Source organism: Homo sapiens, chromosome 3 (genome assembly GCF_000001405.40).
Source record: "Homo sapiens chromosome 3, GRCh38.p14 Primary Assembly".
NCBI classification, from domain to species: domain Eukaryota; kingdom Metazoa; phylum Chordata; class Mammalia; order Primates; family Hominidae; genus Homo; species Homo sapiens.
Window position 1 is genome coordinate 193,415,025 of NC_000003.12, and position 24,438 is coordinate 193,439,462.

At 37.1% G+C, this 24,438-nt stretch overlaps 1 protein-coding gene across 4 annotated transcripts in view; it reads right to left on the minus strand.

The window, feature by feature from the left end:
* ATP13A4 (ATPase 13A4) overlaps positions 1–24,438 on the minus strand; it is a 194,153-nt gene that overhangs the window by 16,058 nt on the left and 153,657 nt on the right. For 2 of the 4 annotated variants that reach the window (XM_047449063.1, NM_032279.4), the window contains 4 exons: positions 23,999–24,041; positions 23,451–23,560; positions 20,624–20,720; positions 18,821–18,893 (listed from right to left, as the gene is read on the minus strand). In XM_047449063.1, coding sequence (XP_047305019.1) covers positions 18,821–18,893; positions 20,624–20,720; positions 23,451–23,560; positions 23,999–24,041 — 323 coding nt within the window. Of the gene's footprint in view, positions 1–18,820; positions 18,894–20,598; positions 20,721–23,450; positions 23,561–23,998; positions 24,042–24,438 lie in introns of those variants that run through there. The other 2 variants (XM_017007319.2, XR_007095757.1) reach the window with 2 other exon arrangements.

Consider the following 24,438-nt stretch of genomic DNA (forward strand, 5'->3'; position numbering starts at 1 on the left):
ATATATTGCTTGTGGGAAAATAAATTGATGCAAACCTTCTGCAGGGCAATTTGGCAATAAATGTGAAGAGACTGAAAAATGTTCATAACTTTCGACATAGTTATTCTACTTTTGGAAATTTATCCTAAGCTAAAAAAGTTAATCAGAGATGTGAAAAAATATTCATTATGGCATCATTTACAATAAGTTATGGTACATCTATACAATGGAACAACATGTAGTCACTAAACAGCAATGCTTTAAAACACTTAATGACAAATAATAGGTGATATCCAGCAAAATGGTGAAGTAGGCAGCTCCAAGTTCCCACATCTCCACAGAAATATCAAAATACAAGCAGAAACTGTCAGAAATCTGAAAATCTGAAAAACAGAAAAGTATACTGCAACCAAGTGAACACTGAATCAAGAAAAAGACAACTTTAGGATCACAGGAAAGTTTTGTGGCATTTCTACTTGCACTTGATCCACCCCCTACTCAGCTTAGTGACAATCCTGAAGATAGCCTGCATTCCCAGAGGGAGACCCTGGTCCCTGGTTACAAAAGGAGCATAGCAGGCCTTATTTACAAATTGTTACATATGTCTGTCCCAACCTGTCTGGGAACTACCTGAAGGATTGATGCAGGCACTCATCTCTGTTCCACCTAACACAGAACTCACTCTGGGCAGAAAAGCAGTGCACATTGCTTGAAAACATTATTAGGCTAACAAATGCAGTTGCCTAGGGCAAAAAAATTACAGTTGATACATAAAATAACCATCTAAAGCCTGGAAGAAAAGCTAAGGAAATTTCCTTGGAGGAATTAGGGCAGTCTAAAGCATCTGTGTATGCTGGGAAATGTAGAATGCTATGTAAATGCCCAGGGCAAAAGCTATGTGCATCCCAGGGCATAGTACATGCTCAGTAAAGACCAGAGAAAACCCAAAGCCTTCAGCTCTGGATTATCTCCAGACTCAGTGTAAGCCTGGCAAAGTGTTGAATAAGTACTCCAGCACAGAAATAATCTGTAAGGACTGGAGAAGGTTTTGTTTGTTTGTTTGTTTGTTTTTTCACTCCTAGAGGTCAAGCAAATCTCTATCAAAACATTAGCTGAACAAAAGCTGAAGGAACAGGGACATATGCGATCTCACATGAAAACTAGTACAGTCTTTCCAAAAAAAGCTTTGGAAAGTCACTAAACAAATGGACTATTACAGCCTTCAACAAAGAGTGAAACAAAAAATTCAAACCCTAAAATAGGAGAAGAATCTAATTTTCAGAGTTAGAGCATTATAATATTCAACAGAGCAAAATAAATGGACAGAATTTGTCCCTGAGGAAGCACAGATATTAGACTTATTAGGTAAAGACTTTAAAACAACTATCTTAAATATGCTGAAATAACTAAGGGAAACCACGGGCAAAGAACTAAAGGAAATTAGGAAAACAATGTATGATCAAAATGAGAATGTCAGTAAAAAGATAAAAATTATAAAAAGGAGTCAAAAGAAATTCTGAAGCTGAAAAGTACTGTAAGTTAAGTGAAAACAGCAAACTTGCAAACTTCAGCAGACTTGAGCAGGCAGTTTGCTGCTCAACAGCAAACTTGAGCAGGCAGAAGAAAGAATCAGTGAACTTGAAGGTAGGATAGTTGAAAATATCCAACCTGAGGAACAGAAAAAAAAATGATAAACAAAAATGAACAGAGCCTAAAGGGCATGTATAACACAAACAAGCAGACCAACATGTACGTTGTGGGAGTATCGGAAGGAGAGAAGAGAAAGAGACAAAAAGAATAAGAAATAATGGCAGAAAACTTCCCAAATTTGATGAAAGGCATAAATCTGCATATCCAAGAAGTACAAGTAATTACAATAGGTCAAACCCAATGAGATTCACATCAAGACATCATATTTGAGCTATTAAAAAACAAAACAAAACAAAGACAAAGAATCTTGAAAGCAGTGAGGGATAAGTGACACATCACCTATAAGGGATCTTCAGTAAGATTAGCAGCCAATTTCTCATCAGAAACCATGGAAGCCAGAAGTCAAGGGATAACATTTAAGATGCTGAAAGAAAAAGAAAAAAACTATTGACTAAGAATTGTATACCTGGCAAAACTGTCCTTCAAAATCGAGGGAGAAATTAAGACATCCCAGATAAACAGAAGCTGAAAGAGTTTGTTATCAGTAACCCTACCCTAAAAGAAATGCTAAAGGGCTCAGATTGAAATGAAAGAATACAAGATAGCTACTCAAACACTTACGTAGAAATAATGATGTCTAGTAAAGGTAACTATATCAGCTATCAGCAAATATAAATGCTGATATTTGTGTATTTTTGGTTTGCAATTTCACTTTATATATCCATGTTATTTAGTACACAATGGAAAAAGATGTAATTTGTAACATCAACAATATAAAAGGGGAGATAACGCTGCAAAGGAGCAGTTGTTTTCATGCTATTAAAGTGAAGGTGTTAATTCAAACTACACTGTTATAAATTTAGAATGTTTCATGTCATCTCCATAATTACATTTTATGTAATTTAAAAACCCACAGCTAACATCATACTCAAGGGTAAAAGACTGAGAACTTTGTCTTAAGATCAGAACAAGGTAAAAATGCCCTTGTCAGCACTGCTTTCAACAGTGTGCTGGGAGTTCTACCCAGAGACATTAGACAAAAAAGAAATTGGCCAGGCGCGGTGGCTCATGCCTGTAATCCCAGCACTTCGGGAGGCCGAGGCAGGTGGATCACGAGGTCAGGAGATCGAGACCATCCTGGCTAACAGAGTGAAACCCCGTCTCTACTAAAAATACAAAAAATTAGCGGCCGGGCGCGGTGGCTCACGCCTGTAATCCCAGCACTTTGGGAGGCCAAGGCGGGCGGATCACAAGGTCAGGAGATCGAGACCATCCCGGCTAAAACGGTGAAACCCCGTCTCTACTAAAAATACAAAAAATTAGCCGGGCGTAGTGGCGGGCGCCTGTAGTCCCAGCTACTTGGGAGGCTGAGGCAGGAGAATGGCGTGAACCCGGGAGGCAGAGCTTGCAGTGAGCCGAGATCCCGCCACTGCACTCCAGCCTGGGCGACAGAGCGAGACTCCGTCTCAAAAAAAAAAAAAAAAAAAAAAAAAAAAAAAAAAAAAAAAAAAAAATTAGCCAGGCGAGGTGGCGGGCACCTGTAGTCCCAGCTACTCAGGAGGCTGAGGCAGGAGAATGGCGTGAACCCCGAGGGGCCAGAGCCTGCAGTGAGCCGAGATTGCGCCACTGCACTCCAGCCTGGGCAACAGCGAGACTCCATCTCAAAAAAAAAAAAAAGAAATTAAAGTCAACTGGATGTCAGCAAGATGGCCAGCTAAAAGCCCTTAGTACTCATCTCTCCCACAAAGACAACCAAAACAACACTATATTTTGATGAAAATAACTAAACGAGAGTGTCAGAATACATCAAAGGAGTAGCAGAAACCCTGTAGAGCACAGAAAACCAGTATGGCCACATACTGGTTTCTATTATAGTACTCCACATCCCAGGAAATATCTGGCATCCAACACCCCACTCTCTAGCCAGGATCAGCTTAGAACCAAGAGGATGTCTCCTTGTGGGGAAAAGGTAAGCAAGAGGACCCCAGCAGCCCCCATCAACACCCTGGACACCTACAGTCCTCACAGGCACTGAACCAGCTGAGGGAGTTGCCTGAAGTCCACACAGCTGTGCTACCCCAGAGTAGAAGCCAACAGTGTGCCCTTCCCCCTGTGGCCTACAAGGCTACTGCACTATGTCATCTTGGAACATAAACTACTGCTGGAATGTGTCCTGCTCTGAGGGCAAGTGGCATGACCCCCTACCAGCCTTGAGGCTTAACGGCTGCTGGACTACTCCTGCCTGGTGCCCTGCCATCCCTGATCTGCCGCTACATCTTACCTTGAGAGCCAAGTTGCTATGCAGCTATTCCATTTACCCCTCTTATTCCCACTGTACCATGTCCTCTAGGGACTGAACTGAAGCTACACACTACCTCCACAGGAAATGAGTGCCTTGGCAGAGCTGCTCCATTTGCCCTTCCCAGTCAACACTGCACCCTGCCCTGCATGGCCTGAGGGGAAGCTGTACGTTGCATCCCAGAGAAACTGCCTTGATGAAACTGCTCCAACTACTCCTCTTAGTCACTGCTGCACCCTGCCCCTAGGGACCTGAGTTGAACCTGTGCACTGCCTCTGGTAATGCAGTGGAAGAAAAAGAGTACTATGGTAAAGCTGCTCCATATACCCTTCTGAGTCCCTGCTGTGCCCTGCCCCTTGGAGCTTGAGATGACGCTGTGCACTGCCTCCTGAAGAAACAATGCCTTGGCAAAGTGGTCCAACTACCCCTCCCAGTTGCTGCTGCCCCTGCCCCCATGCCTGAGCTGAAGTGTAGTGTCTTGCCTTCTGGGAAAATGGTACTTTGGCTTCCCAGAGTAGTCATGCCTCCCCAGTGCCTGAGTTGAAGTAGTGCCCTGTCTCCCAGGAACTGGTGTGTTGGCCAAGAGCAGTCATACCTCACTTCCCCGACCCCCTATACTTACCCCCAAGCCTGAGCTAAAGCAGTGCACTGCCTCCCAAGGAATCAATGCTTTGGCCGAGCTCGCAGTTGTGCATTCCAGGCCTGAGCTGACATAGTACTCCACATCCCAGGGAAAAGCACTGGCTGAGCAGAGACATCCCTTCCCCCAACAGGAAAAATAGCTCTAGTTCCCTGGTTCCCTAGAGCTTGACTAGCTGGACTAGAGTCTGAACTGCTGAGATACCTCCTTCCCAGGTAAGTGGAGTCATCACTGTGCTGCTCCCTGTCCCCCACCCACTGCCCCTCCAGGGCCCAAGTGATAGCTGTGCCATTTTGGGTTCTTTGCTGTTGCCGTACCCCAGCTTCACAGAGTATGGAATACCACTGTGCCCCATCATCTCAGGGTCCAAGGTCACCACTGGATGGTGCTTCATCTCCCAGGGAACTTCGTTGCCATTATATCCTATTAGCCCTAGTTCCTGAATTGCAGCTGTACCCTGCTCCCTGGTCCCAAACCTCCAGAGCAGTCCTTCTCTCCAAGGAGAAAAATCCTGAACCTAGGAGCCTAGCTTCACAGCCTCTCTAAGGTCTCCCTGCTATAACCCAGCACTACTGCAGCTGCTTATAGGTCATGCCAGACCTGACACCGAGAGGGTCCCTCAGTCAAGTCTCCCCATCATCTGTAAAATGGCCACTGAGGCACTCAGTCATTATTGGCATTGATCTTAGCTGAAAAACTTGTACAAAGTCTATACTACTGCATCTTCTCGGAATCAGAGTTACCACAATCTTCACAATTAGCATACCAAGACTCATCTGCAAGTGAAAGCCACTGTGTAAAGTTTGGAAGAGGTGATTGTTCTGCCAGGTGTAAAGACATTGATGCAGAAACAAAAAGGAAATACGAAAGAGCGAGACAATATGATATCAACAAAGAAACACGATAATTCTCCAGTAACTGACCCCAAAGAAAAGGAAAGTTATGAATTTCCTGAAAAGGAATTTATAATGATCTTAAGGAAACTCAGTGAGATACAAGAGAATACAGATAGACAAATTAGGAAAAGAGTTTCCTAATTCAGCAAATTTAGGAAAATTAGGAAAATTAGGAGAAGAGTTTAAAGAATTTAAATGAGAAACTTAACAAAGAGATAAATATCATTTAAAAAGAACCAAACAGAAACTTTGGAGCTGAAGAATTTAATGAATGAAATGAAAAAAATTAATAGAGAGTTTTAATAGCAGACTAGAGCAAGCAGAAGAAAGAATCTCTGAATTTGGAGCTAGGTCTTTTGAAATTACCCAGTCAGAGGAAGCAAAGAAAAAATGAATATAAAAGAACAAAGACAAGCCATAGGACTTACGAAACACCAGGAAATGATCAAACATTAGCATTATGGGATTGCCAGATGGAGAAGAGACAAAGATAGAAACAAAACATTTTATTTAATATGATAAGTGCTGAAAACCTTCTAAGTCCTACAAGAAATACGAAAATCCAGATATATGAATTTCAGAGTCCCCAAAAGAATTCAACCCAAAGAGATTCTCATCATGGCACATTATAATAAATTGTCAAAATAAAGGACAAAGATAGAATTTTAAAAGCAGCAAGAGAAAAGTGCCAAATCACAAATAAGGAAATCCCCATTAGACTATCAACAGATTTCTCAGCAAAATCCCTGCAGGACGGGAGAGAGTGAGATGATATATTCAAGGTGCTGAAAGAAAATAAAAACTGGCAGCTGAAAATACTATACAAGTAAAGCTGTCCTTCAGAAGTGAAGGAGAAATAAAGTCCTAGACAAGCAGAAGTTGAGAGAATTCATCACCACTAGATTTTCCTTACAAGAAATGCTTGAGAGTTTTTCAAGTAGAAATGGAAGGACACTACAAATATAAAAACATATGAAAGTATAAAATTCACTGATGAAAGTAAATATATGGTGAAATCCAGAATATCCCAATACTGTTATGGTGCTCTATAAAACATATATATCTCTAGTATGAAGTCTAAAAGCCAAAACAGTCAAATATAATAGTAACTACAATACATTGTTAAGAAGTACATAAAATAAAAAGATGTAAATTGCGACACTAAAATATAAATTGGGGGAAGGATGAAAGTCTAGAGATTTGTATGTGACTGAGGTTAGTTGTTTTCAGTGTAAAACAGTCCATTATAATTATAAGATATTTTATGTAGCTTCATGGTAACTACAAAGCAAAAAGCTATAGCAAATACACAAACAATAAAGAGAAAGTAATCAAAACTCAGCACTGGAGAAAACCACCAAATCAAAGAGATAAAAAGAAAAAAAGACAGGAACAAAAGAACTACAAAACAACCATCAAATAACAAAGTGGCAATAGTAAGTCCTTAACTATCAATAATTACTTTGAATGTAAATGGAGTATTAAATTCTCCAATCAAAAGACATAGAGTAGCTGAATAGATTTTAAAAAACAAGACTCATCTACATAATGCCTATAAAAGACTCACTTTATCCTTAGAGACACAAATAAGCTGAAAATAAAGAGATAGAAGAAGATATTCTATGCAAATGGTAATCAAAAGAGAGCAAGATTGGCTATATTTATGTCAGATAAAGCAGACGTCAAGTCAAAAACTGTCACAAGAGACAATGCATCCAACATTGAAGCACGTAAATATATAAAGCAAATGTTAATGAACACAAAAGGAGAAATAGCAAGACAATAATAGTAGGGGACTTCAATAACCCACTTTCAACAAGAGACAGATCAACTAGACATAAAATTGACAAGAAAATATGGGAACTGAACTGTACATTAGACAAAATAGACCTAACAGACATATACAAAACTTTCTATTCAATAACAGAAGAATACACATTATTTTCTAATGCGCATGGAACATTCTCCAGTTTAGATCATATGGTAGTTCACAAAACAAGTACTAAAACATTTTTTAAAAATCAATTATCATATCAAGTATTGTTTCTAACCACAATAATATGAAACTATAAATCAATGACAGGAGGACCTTCAGAAACTATACAAATATATGGTAATTAAACAAGGTGCTACTGAACAACCAATGAGTCAATGAAGAAATTAGAAGAGAAGTTAAAAAATTTTTAGAGAAAAATGAAAATTGAAACAAACACAGCAAAACCTTTGGGATACAGCAAAAGCAGTACTCAAAGGAAAGTTTACAGCAATAAATGCCTACATGAATAAAGAAGAAATAACAAACAACAACCTAATGTTGAACCTCAAGGAAGTAGAAGAACAACAACAAACTAAACCCAATATTAGTAGAAAGAAAGAAATAATAAAGATAAAGCAGAAACAAATGAAATTGACCTAAAAGCAATACAAAAGATAAGCAAAACAGAGTTGGTTTTCTGAGGAGATAAACAAAATCAACAAACCATAGCCAGACTAAGAAAAAAAGAGAGAAGACTAAAATAAATAAAATCAGAGGTAAAGGATACATCACAACTAATAACACAGAAATACAAAGTATCATAAGAGACTATTATGAACAACTGTATGCCAACAAATTAGAAAATCTAGAATAAATGGATAAATTCCTGGACACATACAACCTACCAAGAATGAATCATGAAGAAACAGAAAACATGAACAGACCAATAATTAGTAACAGGATTTAATTAGTAATAAAACTTTTCCAATCAAAAAACGTTCAGTACCTGATGGCTTCTCCACTGAATTCTACCAAACATTTAAAGAAGAACTAATATCGATTCTATTCAAACTATCCCTAAACATTGTAAAGGAGCAAATACTTCCAAACTCATTCTATGAGTCCCCCACTACAAGGACACAATAAAAAAGGGCCAATATTTCTAGTAAATATAGATGTAAAAAAAAATCCTCAGCAAAATACTAGCAAACTGAATTTAACAACACATTAAAAAGGTAATTCACCATGATCAAGTGGGATTCACCCCAAGATGCAAGGATGGTTCAACATATTCAAATCAATAAACATGATACATTACATCAATAGGATGGACAAAAACCATATAATCATTTCAATAGATAAGCATTTAACAATATTCAAAATTCCCTTCTGCTAAAAACTCTGAACAAATTAAGCATAGAAGAAATGCACCTCAATGCAATAAAGGTCATGTATGACAAATCCACAACTCACATCATACTAACGGGGAAAAGTTAAAAGCTTTTCCTTTAAAATCTGGAACAAGAAAAGGATGCCCACTTTTGCCACTTCTATTCAACATAGTACTGGAAGTCCTAGCCAGAGCAACTAGGCAAGAGAAAAAAAAAACAGACATTCAAATTGGGAAGGAGAAAGTCAAATTGTCCCTGTTTGGTGGTGGCATGCTCTTATACATAGATAACCCTAAAGACTCCACCAGAAAACTAACAGAACTAATAAATAAATTCAGTAAATCTTTAGAACCCAAAATCAACATAGAAAAATCAGTAGCTTTTATATAGGCTAATGATGAATTATCTATAAAAGAAATAAAGAAGACAATGCCACTTTCAACAGCTACACCACAAAAAATAAGATGCCTAGAAATAAATTTAACCAAGGAGGTGAAAAATCTCTATACTGGAAACTATAAAACACTGGTGAAAAAAAATGGAAGCTAACACACATACATGAAAAGACATCCCATGTTAATTGATTGGAAGAATTAATATTGTTGAAATATCCCTGCTACCTAAAACAATCTACAGATTCAATCCAATCTCTATCAAAACACCAAAGAAATTTTTCACAGAAATAGAAAAAAAAATCCTAAAATGTATAGGGACCACAAAAGACCTTGAATAACCAAAGCACTCTTCAGCAAAAAGAATAATGCCAGAGGCCCCACATATCCTTGATTTTAAAATATACTACAAAACTACAGTAACTAAAACAGCTTGGTATTGGTATAAAATAGACACATAGACCAATGGGACAGAATAGAGATTCCAGAAATAAAAACATCTACAGTCAATTGATTTTCACAAAGGTGCAAAGAACACACATTAGGGAAAGCACCGTCTCCTCAATGAATGGTGCTGAGAAAATTGGTTATCGATGCAGAAGAATGAACTAGACCCCTATCTCTCACCAAATAAGAAAATTAACTCAAAGTGGATTAAAAACTTAAATGTAAAACTCGAAACTATAAAACTGCTAAACAAAAACATATGAAAAATGTTTCATGGTTTTGATTTGGGCAATAATTTTTTTGCTAAAACCCTAAAAGCATAGGCAACAAAAGCAAAAATAGACAAATGGGGATTACATAAAACTAAAAAGATTTTGCACAACAAAGGAAACAGTTAACAGATTGAAGAGACAACCTACATAATGGGAGAAAATATTTCTAAACTATGCAGTATAATAAAATAGCCCCTGACAAGGGATTAATATCCAGATTATATCAGGAACTCAAAAAAAAACTCAATAGCAAAAATAATAATAAAATAATTCAATTAAAAAATGGAAAAAATACCTGACAAGACATTTCTCCAAAAAAACCATAGAAATAGGTATGCCATATGCCAACAGATATATGAAAAAATGTTCAACATCATTAATATCAGGGAAATGCAAATCAAAACCACCGTGAGATATAATCTCACTCCAGTTAGAACAGCTATTATCAAAAAGACAAAAAATAATAAATATTAGTGAGAATGTAAAGAAAAGAGAACACTTACATACTGTTGGTCGAAATGTAAATTAATACAGCCATTAAAGAAAATAGCATGGAGGTTCCCTTAAAAATTAAAAATGGAACTACCATATGATCTAGCAATCCCACTACTGGGTATGTATCCAAAGAAAATAACATCAGTATGTCAAAGAAATATCTGCACTCCCGTGTTTATTGAAGCCCTATTCATAATAGCCAAAACATGGAATTGCCCTAAGGGTATATCAACAGGTGAATGAATAAAGAACATGTGGTATACACGATGGAATACTATTGAGCCTTAAAAAAACAAGGAAATCTTGTTGATTGCAACAACATAGATGAAGCTTGAGGACACTGTGCTAAGTGGAAGAAGCCAGACACAGAAGGACAAATTCCACATGACCTCACTCATTTGTAGAATCAAAAAAAGTTGATCTCATAGAAGTAGAGAGTAGAATAGTGGTTTCTTAAAGCTGGAAAGAATAGAGATAGAGAGGAGAAGGGGATGGAGAGAAGGTTGTCAGTATGTACAAAGTTATAGTTCAATAGGAGGAATAAGTTCTATTGTTCTATTGCATAGTAGGATGATTATCATTAACAATAGCAGACTTTATATTTCAAAATTGCTAAAAAAGAGAATTCTGAATGTTCTCACTACAAAAAATGATAAATGTGCAAAGTGATAAATATGCTAATTACCATGATTTTACTATTACACAACGTATACATGTATTGAAACATCACATTGTACCTCATAAATATGTACAAATATGTGTTAATTAAAAATAAGTTGTATCTTTTGAAAAGAAAAAGGAAATAAAATCATCCAATTGGAAGAAAGAAGTAAAACCATCTCTATGCACTGATGACAAGAGCCTACATACTGAAAATCTTAAGAAACTCACAAGAAAGCTGATAAAATTAATAATTGAATACAGCAATGTTTCAGGGCATAAGATCAACACAAAAACAATCATCGTGTTTCTGTACACCAGCAGTGAACAATTCAAAGACAAACTTAAAAAAATTCTATTTCCAAAAAATGAAATACCTAGAGATAAACTTAACCAAGAAAGAGAAAGGCTTCCACACTGAAAACTACAAAACTTTGTTGAAAGAAATTAAAGATGACACAAATAAATGGAAAAACCCATTAAAATCTCATATTAATGGATTGGAAGACTCAATATTATTAAGATGTTTGTACTATCCAAAGTGATCTACAGATTTGATGCAATCTCTATCAAAATTTAAATAGCTATTTTTAGAGAAATGGAGTCAGTCCTCAGATTTATATGAAATTATAAGAGTCCCTAAATCGTTTCTAAAAATCTTGAAAAGAAAAATAGCATTGAAGGACTCACACTTCCCAAATCCAAACTCAGTAACCAAACCAGTTCGGTGCTAACATGAGGAAATACATGTAGACCAATGGAATAGAATTGAGGGTCCAGCAATAAGCCCATACATCTATGGCCAACTGATTTCAAAATGCATATTAATACCATTTAATGAAGGAAAGAATAGTCTCTTCAACAAGCTGGGACAACCAGATTTCCACACACAAAGTAAGGAACTTGGACCTCTACTTCATACCACATGTAAAAATTAACACAAAAAATGGATCAATGACCTAAATGTAAGAGTTAACAACATAAAATACTTAGAAGAAACTTAGGGAGAAATATTCATAACCTTGAATTTGGCATTGGATTCTTAGATATAACACCAAATACATGAACAAACAAATACATAAATAAATAAATAGGACTCCATTAAAATAAAAAACTTGGACATTATTTAAAAAGTGAAAAGATAACATATAGGAGAAAATATTTGTGATTTCATGTCTCATAAGAGTTTAATCTCCACAATATATGAAGAACTGCTAGAACTCAATGTGCAAAAATCACAAGCATTCTTATACACCACTAACAGAGAAACAGCCAAATCATGAGTGAACTCCCATTCACAATTGCTTCAAAGAGAATAAAATACCTAGGAATCCAACTTACAAGGGATGTGAAGGATCTCTTCAAGAAGAACTACAAACCACTGCTCAACGAAATAAAAGAGGACACAAACAAATGGAAAACATTCCATCCTCATGGATAGGAAGAATCAATATCATGAAAATGGCCATACTGCCCAAGGTAATTTATAGATTCAATGCCATCCACATCAAGCTACCAATGACTTTCTTCATAGAATTGGAAGAAACTACTTTAAAGTTCATATGTAACCAAAAAAGAGCCCACATTGCCAAGACAATCTTAAGCCAAAAGAACAAAGCTGGAGGCATCACACTATCTGACTTCAAACTGTACTACAAGGCTACAGTCACCAAAAGAGCATGGTACAGAGATATAGACCAATGGAACAGAACAGAACCCTCAGAAAGAATACCACACATCTACAACCATCTGATCTTTGACAAACCTGACAAAAACAAGAAATGGGGAAATGATTCCCTATTTAATAAATGGTGCTGGGAAAACTGGCTAGCCATATGTAGAAAGCTGAAACTGGATCCCTTCCTTACACCTTATACAAAAATTAATTCAAGATGGATTAAAGACTTAAATGTTAGACCTAAAACCATAAAAACCCTAGAAGAAAACCTAGGCAATACCATTCCGGACATAGGCATGGGCAAGGACTTCATGTCTAAAACAACAAAAGCAATGGCAACAAAAGCCAAAATTAACAAATGGGATCTAATTAAACAAAACAGCTTCTACACAGCAAAAGAAACTACCATTAGAGTGAACAGGCAACCTATACAATGGGAGAAAATTTTTGCAATCTACTCATCTGACAAAGGGCTAATATCCAGAATCTACAAAGAACTCAAACAAATTTACAAGAAAAAAACAAACAACCCCATTAAAAAGTGGGCAAAGGATATGAACAGACACTTCTCAAAAGAAGACATTTATGCAGCCAAAAGACACATGAAAAAATGCTCATCATCACTGGCCATCAGAGAAATGCAAATCAAAACCACAGTGAGATACCATCTCACACCAGTTACAATGGTGATAATTAGAAAGTCAGGAAACAACAGGTGTTGGAGAGGATGTGGAGAAACAGGAACACTTTTACACTGTTGGTGGGACTGTAAACTGGTTCAACCATTGTGGAAGACAGTGTGGTGATTCCTCAAGGATCCAGAACTAGAAATACCATTTGACCCAGCCATCCCATTACTGGGTATATACCCAAAGGATTATAAATCATGCTGCTACAAAGACACATGCACATGTATGTTTATTGTGGCACTATTCACAATAGCAAAGACTTGGAACCAACACAAATGTCCAACAATGATAGACTGGATTAAGAAAATGTGGCACATATATACCATGGAATACTATGCAGCCATAAAAAAGGATGAGTTCACGTCCTTTGTAGAGACATGGATGAAGCTGGAAACCATCATTCTCAGCAAACTATTGCAGGGACAAAAAACCAAGCACCGCGTGTTCTCACTTATAGGTGGGAATTGAACAATGAGAACTCTTGGACACAGGAAGGGGAACATCACACACCTAGGCCTGTCGTGGGGTGGGGGGAGGGGGGAGGGATAGCATTAGGAGATATACCTAATGTAAAGGACGAGTTAATGGGGGCAGCTCACCAACATGGCACATGTATACATATGTAACAAACCTTCACGTTGTGCACATGTACCCTAGAACTTAAGGTATAATAATAATAATAATAAAACCCAGAAGACAAAAATTCAATTAGGAAATGGTCAAAGGACCTGAATAAACATTTCTCCAAAGAAGACATGTAAATGGCTGATGAGCACATGACTATATGTTCACTATTATTAGTCATTAGAGAAATGCAAGTCAAAATCATAATAAGATATCACTCCAAACCTATTAGGATGGTTAAAATAATCTTTGTCCATTAAATAACAAGAGCTGATGAGGCTGTGAAGCAATTAGACCCCTTATACATTGCTAGTGAGAATGTAAAATGATGCAGTCATTAGGAAAATAGTTCGGTGGTTCCTTGAAAAGTTAAATATATGATTAACATATGACCCAGATTCCACTTTATACCCAAAAGAGTTGAAAACAGGGACTCAAAAAGATATTTTATGCAAATGTTCATTGCAGCATTATTCACAACAGCCAACAGGTGGGAGCACCCAAGTCCATCAACAAATAAATGGATAGATAAAATGTGGTATATACATATAATGGAATATTATTCAGCTATAAAAACGAATTAAGTTCTGATGCATGTTACAAAATGGATTATACTAAAGAAACCAGATACAATGGTACAAACTGCCTGACTTCATTTATATGAAATATATTGAATAGGGAAATTCATAGAGACAAAAAATAGATTAGAGTTAACCATGGGTTGGAGGGAGAAAGGATGGGGAGTTATTGCTTTAATGGATAGAGTATCTGTTTGAGGTGATGAAAAACTTTTGAAAATATATAGTGGTGATGATTGAAAACATTGTGAATGTAATTCATGTCCCTAAATTATACACAGAAAAAAATAAAAATGACAAATTTTGTTATATAATTTTACCACAAGAAAAAAATTAAAATGAAAATAAGATGCACTATATAGAAGACATAATTCTAATTTCTTAATTTATATAGAAAAAAGACTGGACAGAAATACATCAAAATGCTTTAATTGGTTAGCTCTGGATAGTAAGATAAAAATAGGTTTTTCTCTGTTATATCTTGAAATGTTTTCCATCTTCCACAGTGAATATATGTTAACAACATATACACTTAATATATGTTAAACAGAAAAGAATCAAGTTGTTTAACAAAAAATAGAGAAAATCCTAAAGGCACTTGCTATGGAGAAGAGAACAATCACAGAATAAATAAAAGCTGCTTCCAAATTCTTTCAAATAGAATTTTCTATTCGAAATAAATTTCAAACAGAAGGACTGTTCTGGAGAAAAAATTAAACTCTTCTGTGACACCTCAAATGGCAAAACTGGGATGGATGAAAGTTACACATTTAGAGATAAATTTGGCTTCGTGTGAAGGGGAACTCTGCTGACAAAGTTAACAAAGCCTGTACGAGGTTGTTCTTTCAATAGATTTAACAAATATTTAACAAGCTCCTTTAATATGTCAGAAGTATTGGGATTACAGCATGGATCAATACAGACTAAATGTTGTTCTCATGAAACACACATTCTGGGTGAGGAGAAGCAGGCAAAAAGCTAATGAAAACAAAGATAAATATAGTAACTTCAGATTGTGGAAAGTACTGTGAAAACATAAAGCAGGGTTGTGTGATAGAGAACTGGCTTCTTCACTATTAAAGTGATCTTTCTGAAGAAGTGACATTTGAGCTCAAATATGAATAATGAAAAAAGTCAAAGACATATAAAGATCCAAGGGGAGAGTATTTTAGGCAAAAGGAATAGCCAATGCAAGGGTACTTGAGTTGACCACAGCTTGACAATGTACTAGAGACAGTAAGACCAGTACAGCAGTCACATCAGTGAGTGGCAATGTGGGTAGAGGTGAAGTTGGTGAAGTAGTCAGGAGCCCAATCATATAAGACTTGAATTGAGTCAAAATGGGAAGCATTGGAGCATTTTAAGCAAGAGAATGAATAATAAAATTTATATTTAAAAACAATACTCTTACTATTGTGTAAATGGGAATGAGGAGAGGGCAGCAACAGTGGAAGCAAGATCAGCTATAAAGTTGTTACAGTAATGCACAAGGGAGCTGGCATTGCTTAGTGACTAATGATGGCGGCTACATTGAAAATGGAGGGGGGGAATCACAGTACGTTTTGGAGGCAGTGCTAACAGAAATTTCAAATGTATAGGATGTGATGGGTGAAGAAACAAGAAAAATAAAGGATGACTCTAGTTATTTGACTTGAACAACTAGGTAGATAACAGTGCAATTCCAGTAGAATGTAAGCTCCATAAGGAAAGAAATCTTGTTTTGTTTCACTGATGTATTATTCTAAGTTCCTAGATCAGTAAGTAGCACAAACTAGGGACTCAGTAAGTACATAATGATTATATTGAATATCAGATCTGGGGGAATTAAGAGTTCTGTTTGAGAATGTGAAGTTTAATTCCTATTAAATACCCATGGTTAGATGCAGAGTAGCTACATTTCCAGAGCTTTGGATGGACATCAAGGCTGGAGATATAAATTTGGGATTCATCAGCAGATAGATAATATTAAAGTCATGGGGCTGGTTGAGATTACTTATGGAGATGGTATAGGCTGAAAAGACAGCGGATCCAAGAACAAGACTTGAAATACTCCAAAAGTTAGAGAACAAGTATATTTGCAAATTGCTCACTACACATTTCTTTTCAGTAAAGTTACTTGTTTCTATATATGCATGTGTGTGTGTGTGTGTGTGTGTGTTTACTATATATAAATATGCTTCCAAATATATATGGGTGTGTATGTGTATATGTGGGTATATATACATTTATATATACACACATATATATGTTTCTATATATATTTATATATACACACATATATATGTTTCCCATATATATATATGTTTCCATTATATATATGAAAACAAGTAAATATATATGTATATTCAAACTGTTTTGGGGAGCAACATGTTAAACATTTGCAAGTATACCACTGCCTCCTACTGAACAACTGCATAAGCCCAAAATTCAAATTCATGCCCCTGGATGTTAGAATCTGGCTAATGGAAATGGAATGGTAGTAGAATTAGGGATGAGAATGGAGAAAGTGGGTATACATAACTGTTTGGGAAGTTTAAGAATAAAGGAGGCAGTAGCTGGTGGTAGATTCAGGGTCAAATAAGAATTTTTAAAAGAAAGAAGATATGAGAATGTATTATATGCCATCATTGGGAATGATCTAGTAAACAAGAGAAAGGTTGATAATAATGGAGAAATAGATTATTAGACGAATAAAATCCTTGAGAAGGTTGGAGGAAGTAGGAGTAAAAGCATAAATGGAACCACTACAAACCTATTAGAATGGCCAAAATCCAGAACACTAACAATACTAAATGCTGGTGAGTATGTGAAGCAACAAGGACTCTAAATCATTGGTAGTAGAAATGCAAACTAGTATAGCTGTTTGGAAAGACAGTTTAGAGGTTTCTTACAAAACAAAACTTATTCTTACTACATAATCCTTTACCCAGTGAAAATGAAAACTTATTTCCACTCAAAAATCTGCACACGGATGTTTATAGCAGCTTTATTTACAGTTGCCCAAACTTGGAAGCAACTAAGATATCCTTCGGTAGGTGAATGAATAAATCAACTGTGGTACATACAGACAATGGAGTATTATTCAGCACTAAAAAGAAATGAACTATCAAACTATGAAAAGACATAGTTGAACCTTAAATGCATATTACTAAGTGAAGAAAAGCCCATCTGAAAAGCCTATATATGATTCCAACTATATAACATTCTAGAAAAGCCAAACAAACCTGCATGTTGTGCACATGTACCCTAGAACTTAAAGTATAATAATAAAAGAAAAGAAAAGAAAAGAAAGGCCAAAACTACTGAGACGGTAAAAGATCACAGTGGTTGCCAGGAGCTTTGGGGAAGTGGGGAAGATGACTAGGCAGAGCAGAGGATTTTTAGGGCAGTGAAAATATTCTGTGTGATAATATAATGATGGATACATGTCATTATACATATGTTCAAACCCATAAAATGTGCAAGACCAGGAATGAACTGTAATGTAAACGATGGACTTTGGATAATAATGATGTTATTATTAATTGTTTCTCACGAAATGCTTTCATTGAGTTTTGCCAAACTCTTGTGTCCATAATCAACCTATGATTGCAATTGATGACTGAATTAGTTTCAACATGAATGTTGGTTGAGATTTTCCTTTAGCTGAGCTAGTAAGACAAAAGCAAAACAACAAAGACATGTCAAAACTTCAATCATTCATCAATAGAATTTCATCAGTTACAACAAATATACCACTTTGTGAGGAACGCTGATAGTAGCAGAGGCTATGTATGTGTTTGGGAAGGAAGTACATGGGAAATCTCTGTACCTTCCTCTCATTTTTGTTGTGAACCTAAGACAGCCCTAAAAAAGAATAAAGTCAAAAATAAAAAAATTTTCCATTGCAGGAACATTAGGGAGACAATTTATTCATTAGAAGGTGGAGGGTAAGAGAGGTATAATGGCAAGATTACCTTTAAGCTTCATTCTAAATCCTGAGAGGCTAAGATTTAGGTATGAGAAATATAAAAGCCATTTGGCTCCTATAAATTGGGTACATTTTAACTATAACTGTATCTAAAAGCACTCTGAAGTTAGTGTTCCTGATTTTCAAGCTGCTTTTTTCATTTTAAGTGTTTAGTGACCATTTATAGAAGTTCCACATTTTGCAGAAAACAGCAAAATAACGAGCAAGCTTTTCTTTTGCTAATACTTTCTTGCAATACTTAAAAATGAGGATTCTATTTCCTCTCTGTGTATATATTTGGGAATAAATTCCAGATCATTGCTGCTGTTGCAGCTGCTGTTCCTCATGGTAGACAAATCTTTCCAAGGCAGAGGGAGGGCAGCTGAGGGTAGCACCTCTGGTAAGAAAGTTTTAAAATGTCTTACTTGTTACACCAATAAGAGTTGTAATGGCCAGATCCTGGAACAGAAACTGGTAATTTGAAAGGCTGTTTGTCTCCTGAAAATAAAAAGAAAGCAGATCAAAAAAGTTGTGACCTTCTGGATGAAATTAGATATTGATTACATTTATTTTCTCACTGTGACATAGGGTTTTTCAAGTAAATTACTGTGGAGATGCTGTGTTCGGGGCCTGGTTGAGTTGGTGAGTGATGGTGTTGGTGGAAGTAATCAAAGCCAAACCTGTGAAACCCTCTCTATGCAGGGGGCCTATCATCATGTGCTTTCAGGGTGGGATTGTTTGTGCATCCTTATTACTTTGTTGAGGAGGACATCTTCCCCTACCAGATTCATCTCTGCTCTCTTTTCTACTTGTTAACAGAAAATTTAGGATTTCATTTCACACAATAAAAAAATACATCCCCAAGTGACAAATGTGTGGTAACCTTACATAAGTTTTACTGATGGAAAATAAGAATAAGTAAACTCACTATTTGCATTCTTGAATGTTTTTAGACAAAATTTTAGAAAATCCTAGCAAAACATCTTAATAGTCTAGAGGAAAAAGTGCTATGTCTTACTGATTTTAAGAAACTCACTCACTTTCTTGCTCCCCACCCCTTAGTGGAAAGGAGATAATGTTCAATGTTTAATTCTACTTTTGAGTATAATTTGGGAATTCTAAAATAGAGGCCAATTTCCAGAAATAGCCTATCCTTCTCTAGCCCATTTATCAGTGAGTAGGAAAAGATATAGTTTATCGGAGAGCAATAGAACTAAAATCTTTAACCCAGGAAAAAGAAGGCAGTATATAAAGATGAATCTGGATATCTGCCACACAGATATCCAGACGAACTTTCTTTCCTTGGTGTTGGTTAATACGGTAATCTCACATGTTGAGTTCACAGATGATGTGCATGTTTTTTTCTCTTTTTATATCTTGGTAAATAAAAAAAAGTGATCACAAGACCTATGTATTTTTGTGGTATGATATGCCAGTTTTCACATCCCTATATTCAGGGAACCAGTGGCATGCTGGCTTATACTAACACTTAAAAGTCAATTGCTAAATTTTCAGAGATGTTGTGAGCTGGTTGTTAAACAAAGCCAATACAAAAACTTAAATTATACAAGTGTACCATTAAATAAATTATACTAAAACCAAAGTTAATAAATACTCAAAGCTCAGCTATTTCTAAATATTTTTCTACATTTTACTGCTATCTCTGCCCTTAAGGTTATTTACGACTCTTGTATCTATATGGGGCAAGTATTATAGAATCATATGCTACTATACATCTTTCCCCACTTCATGTTCAGTGACAATAGGCAGACAGCTTGCAACTGGTTATGGTAGGAGTATTTACGCCACTGAAATGGGCAAACATTAATAATCAGGTCTTTTTTTTCATGCTAAATGAAGCATTTAGCAACACCCCAATGCAGAGAACCATTTCTTTAGTGAGTGGTAGACTAGGGTAGAGCCACGTTGCAATTAAGAAGATAAAGACCTTGTCCAATCAGGTAAAAGTAGCAGCAATATATTCAGTGGTGATTTCAGCTATTACTAGATAAAAGGTTTCTACATCAGAGAATTGACATCAGCAACTTTTCCTGTACAAATCTGTCTATTTGTGATTTACTTTACAAATTCTTAAGGATATTTTTGGAGGGGCTGTTGTTGTTCAGATATCCTATTTGTACTCTTTCTTTGAGAGGCATTGTAAATTGAGAGTGCACCGCTACTTGTTTTAGTTCACACTAACCAAGAGGCTAAGTCCCAAGTCATACCCAGTAGAGCAGCAGAACACCAACATACTGAATCATGCTGTACAGAGCCATGTACTTAAACATGCAAAAGGAGGTAACGAGAGCTGCACGTCCTTCCCTGTGTAAGAAAAGAAATGATAAAGACATGAAAGTAATGAAAAGACATAAGGTCAGTCATTCTGTGCTGTTCAGCTAAGCTCAGGAGAAAAAAAATCAAAAGTCATTATACGACTGTCTGTCTGAAAATGGACAGCCCTGAGCTCATGGATGCTGGCTGTCAGTAAACTACACAACCCAATTTTCAAGAAAGGCCAATTCCAGGCCAAGGTCCAAGGGCCTTGATCTGGTGATGGAGTCCAGATTTACAGTTGCTCTTGTCCTTTCAGCAGGCATTGTTTTAGCTCCTGAACTCAGATCAGTGGAGCTAGTGCCAGATCTTCTACCTATTCACTAATGAGATGCAGAAGATCATTTCCCTTGTCTCAGTTTCTTCATCTGTGAACTAATGGATTTAAATAAAATTCCAGATTCAGGGGTTATTTTCATACAGGAGCTTCAGGAGCTTGGCAAGCATTTGATTCAAATTTCATTTTGGCAGTCCCAACTTTTTCTAAAACTGGACCAAAACAATACACACTCAAATTAGTCATATATCAAATTGAAATAGGCTGGAAATGATGAGCATTTTCATTTGTGTTATTGTTGATTGATTTGAATAAATAGTACACATTTAAAGCATGAAATAGATGACACATGAAATGTCACTTTTATCTTCTATTTCATTCGGTGAAAAATAAAGTTTAAGTTACACTTTTTAAATTTAAATTATACTTTTTTTTTTGTCAGAATCTTGCTTAGTCACCCAGGCTGGAGTGCAGTGGCATGATGTCAGCTCACTGCAACCTCTGCCTACCAGGTTCAAGTGATTCGCCCGCCTCAGCCTCCTGAGTAGCTGGGACAACAGGCATGCTCCACCAGGTCTAGCTAATTTTTTTTTGTATTTTTAATAGAGACTGGGTTTCATCACGTTGGCCAAGCTGGTCTCGAACTCCTGACCTCAAGTGATCCACCCACCTCGGCCTCCCAAAGTGTTGGGATTACAGCCATGAGCCACCACACCCAGCCTAGATCATACTTCTTTAAGTTTAAACTCATGCCCACTATGATGTCCTAGGGTGTTAAAACCTGATCCCCGGGGCCGGGCGCGGTGGCTCACGCCTGTAATCCCAGCACTTTGGGAGGCCGAGGCGGGCGGATCACGAGGTCAGGAGATCGAGACCATCCCGGCTAAAACGGCGAAACCCCGTCTCTACTAAAAATGCAAAAAATTAGCCGGGCGTGGTGGCGGGCGCCTGTAGTCCCAGCTACTTGGGAGGCTGAGGCAGGAGAATGGCGTGAACCCGGGAGGCGGAGCTTGCAGTGAGCCGAGATCCCGCCACTGCACTCCAGCCTGGGCGACAGAGTGAGACTCCGTCTCAAAAAAAAAAAAAAAAAAACCTGATCCTCAAACCAGGTTTTTTTCTGTATCAGAGTTTTGCCGTGACATTTCCTCTGCCCAGAGGTAGTTTCTCCTTATTGCTTAGAGAGGTTCTCTAAGCAATAAGGAGAGGTTCTCCTTAGAGAGGTTTTCCCATACCACCCCATCTGAAGCAGCTGCTTCCACCTATATAGCCATCTTATTCCCTTTTACCCTTTTTATTTCCTGGACAGCACCTATCAAAATCAGTAGGTATCATCCTTATCTCCCTTAGTTTCTGGCACTAAATGCCTACTCACTAAAGATTTGTCAAATGCATGAATAAATAAAAAATTGGGAGGACCTAGCCAAATTATTATTTTTATGTGGTGGAAATAGTATATCTGTAGATAAAATACATTTGAATAAAATTAATTCTAAGACAATCTCTAACCTCATATGGTTGTATGAGCTTGGGCACATCAATTAAATTTTCTGAACTTCAATTGTTTTGTTTGTTAAAAAAATAGCCATTCCTGCATCTCCAGGCTGTTTTGAAGTGTGAGATAGTAGGCATTATAGCATTTTTAAACTAGAAACACATGTCAGTTACAATAACCAAGAGCAGCCACCATGCTCACTATCTCTATCATTCAAATATAATGGAGCAGAAGTACATTTTCGGCAGGGTGGTGGGGGACATCAAAGCAAATTTTAGTGAGAGCAGCAAAAGCCAATAAAGATTTTTTTTTTTTTTTTTTTTTTTTGAGACAGAGACTTGCTCTGTTGCCCAGGCTGGAGTGCAGTGGCACAATCTTGGCTCACTGCAATCTCCACCTCCCAGGTTCACACCATTCTCCTGCCTCAGCCTCCCAAGTAGCTGGGACTGCAGGAGCCTGCTACCACGCCCAGCTAATTTTTTGGTATTTTTAGTAGAAACGGCGTTTCACCATGTTAGCCAGGATGGTCTCAATCTCCTGACCTCGTGATCTGCCCACCTCGGCCTCCCAAAGTGCTGGGATTACAGGCGTGAGCCACTGCGCCCGGCCAAAGATTTTGAAAACTTTATTTTTCAAATAAAAATTGAAAAGGAGATAGTTACATTTGAAAAATGGGGATGATTGACACTTTCAAAGCAATAACAAGTTCCAGATTCCAATCTTCTAAAAATAACCTAATCAGTGAATTCACTGGAAATGCCACTGCTCTCCCAATGTTATTGTTAACTTCTGGAAAATCCATTTGGAAGTAGAATGCTTGACTGCATTCTTCCACAAAACACCCTCCGCACCCAGGGACAGAAAGTTTCTCTAGTCTTTCCCAGGCAGAACAATGTGATTTGCACCAGAAGTCAAGAGAGAGAAAACAATGTTTGAGGAAGTGCCTACTTACTTGATAAGGTGAGGTACGCACTCAATGTTTGGAGTTTTGGAAGTGAAAGGTGAGGCCACAGATGCCTCCTGCTCTGATAATGAGATGCCCACATGAGCCATTTTCAGAGCCTGAAAGCAAAGAATCAGCTTACTCCTCACATAGACTCACGTACGTCTCTACTAAAGCCTCATAAGAAAAGGCCAGTTAAGCTGGCCACAAGGTGGTTTGTGTGCCCAAACTCTAACCAAGAGACTTAACCCTGCCTGGAACATGAGAAAAAGATGGCATTAGGATACCTAGCCAAAGAAATGAGAACTCCAGAACCAAATTCTACTCTGTGTAGCCTGAACTAACCATTGAATCGTGTGACTTTGGTCAAAAGCCTCCCAATGCAACAGTTTATCCGTCAAGAGGAATGTAAATGGTATATATGCCAGGAGTATACCTCTAAAGGGCTCGAGTATAAATGAATGTGAGATTATGACTACACACACTGGCAGCTACTCTAAAGGGCTTAAGTGTAATCGAATGTGAGATTATGGCCACACAAACTGGTAGCTACTTACCCCACAGTCATTGGCTCCATCACCACACATACCTACAAAGTAACTAAGAGGGAACCACATTAATTGTAGATGAGATCAAACCTATCTTGCTAATTTCTCTAATTAAAAAAACAAAGTAACCATCATTACTTAGGGTTCAAACTCATTATTTAAGGGAATTTTCCTAAGAGTCTAGTTTGACTGAAAAAAGTGTGATTCAGCAGTTAATACAATGGATTTAGAAATTCAGAACGTGATTCCTGACTGTAAGTGTTTCATGTAGACACTGCACATCACTGCGTAGGGAGAGTTTTCTCAGCTGTAAGACAGAGGTGCTCACAATTCTATGATGTAAGTTTGGCATGGCAGAGAGGGCACAGGATTTGAAACCAGATGCAGATGTTGACCTGGTCATCTTAACATTTTCACTATTATTATTATTCCCATCATTATTATTATTT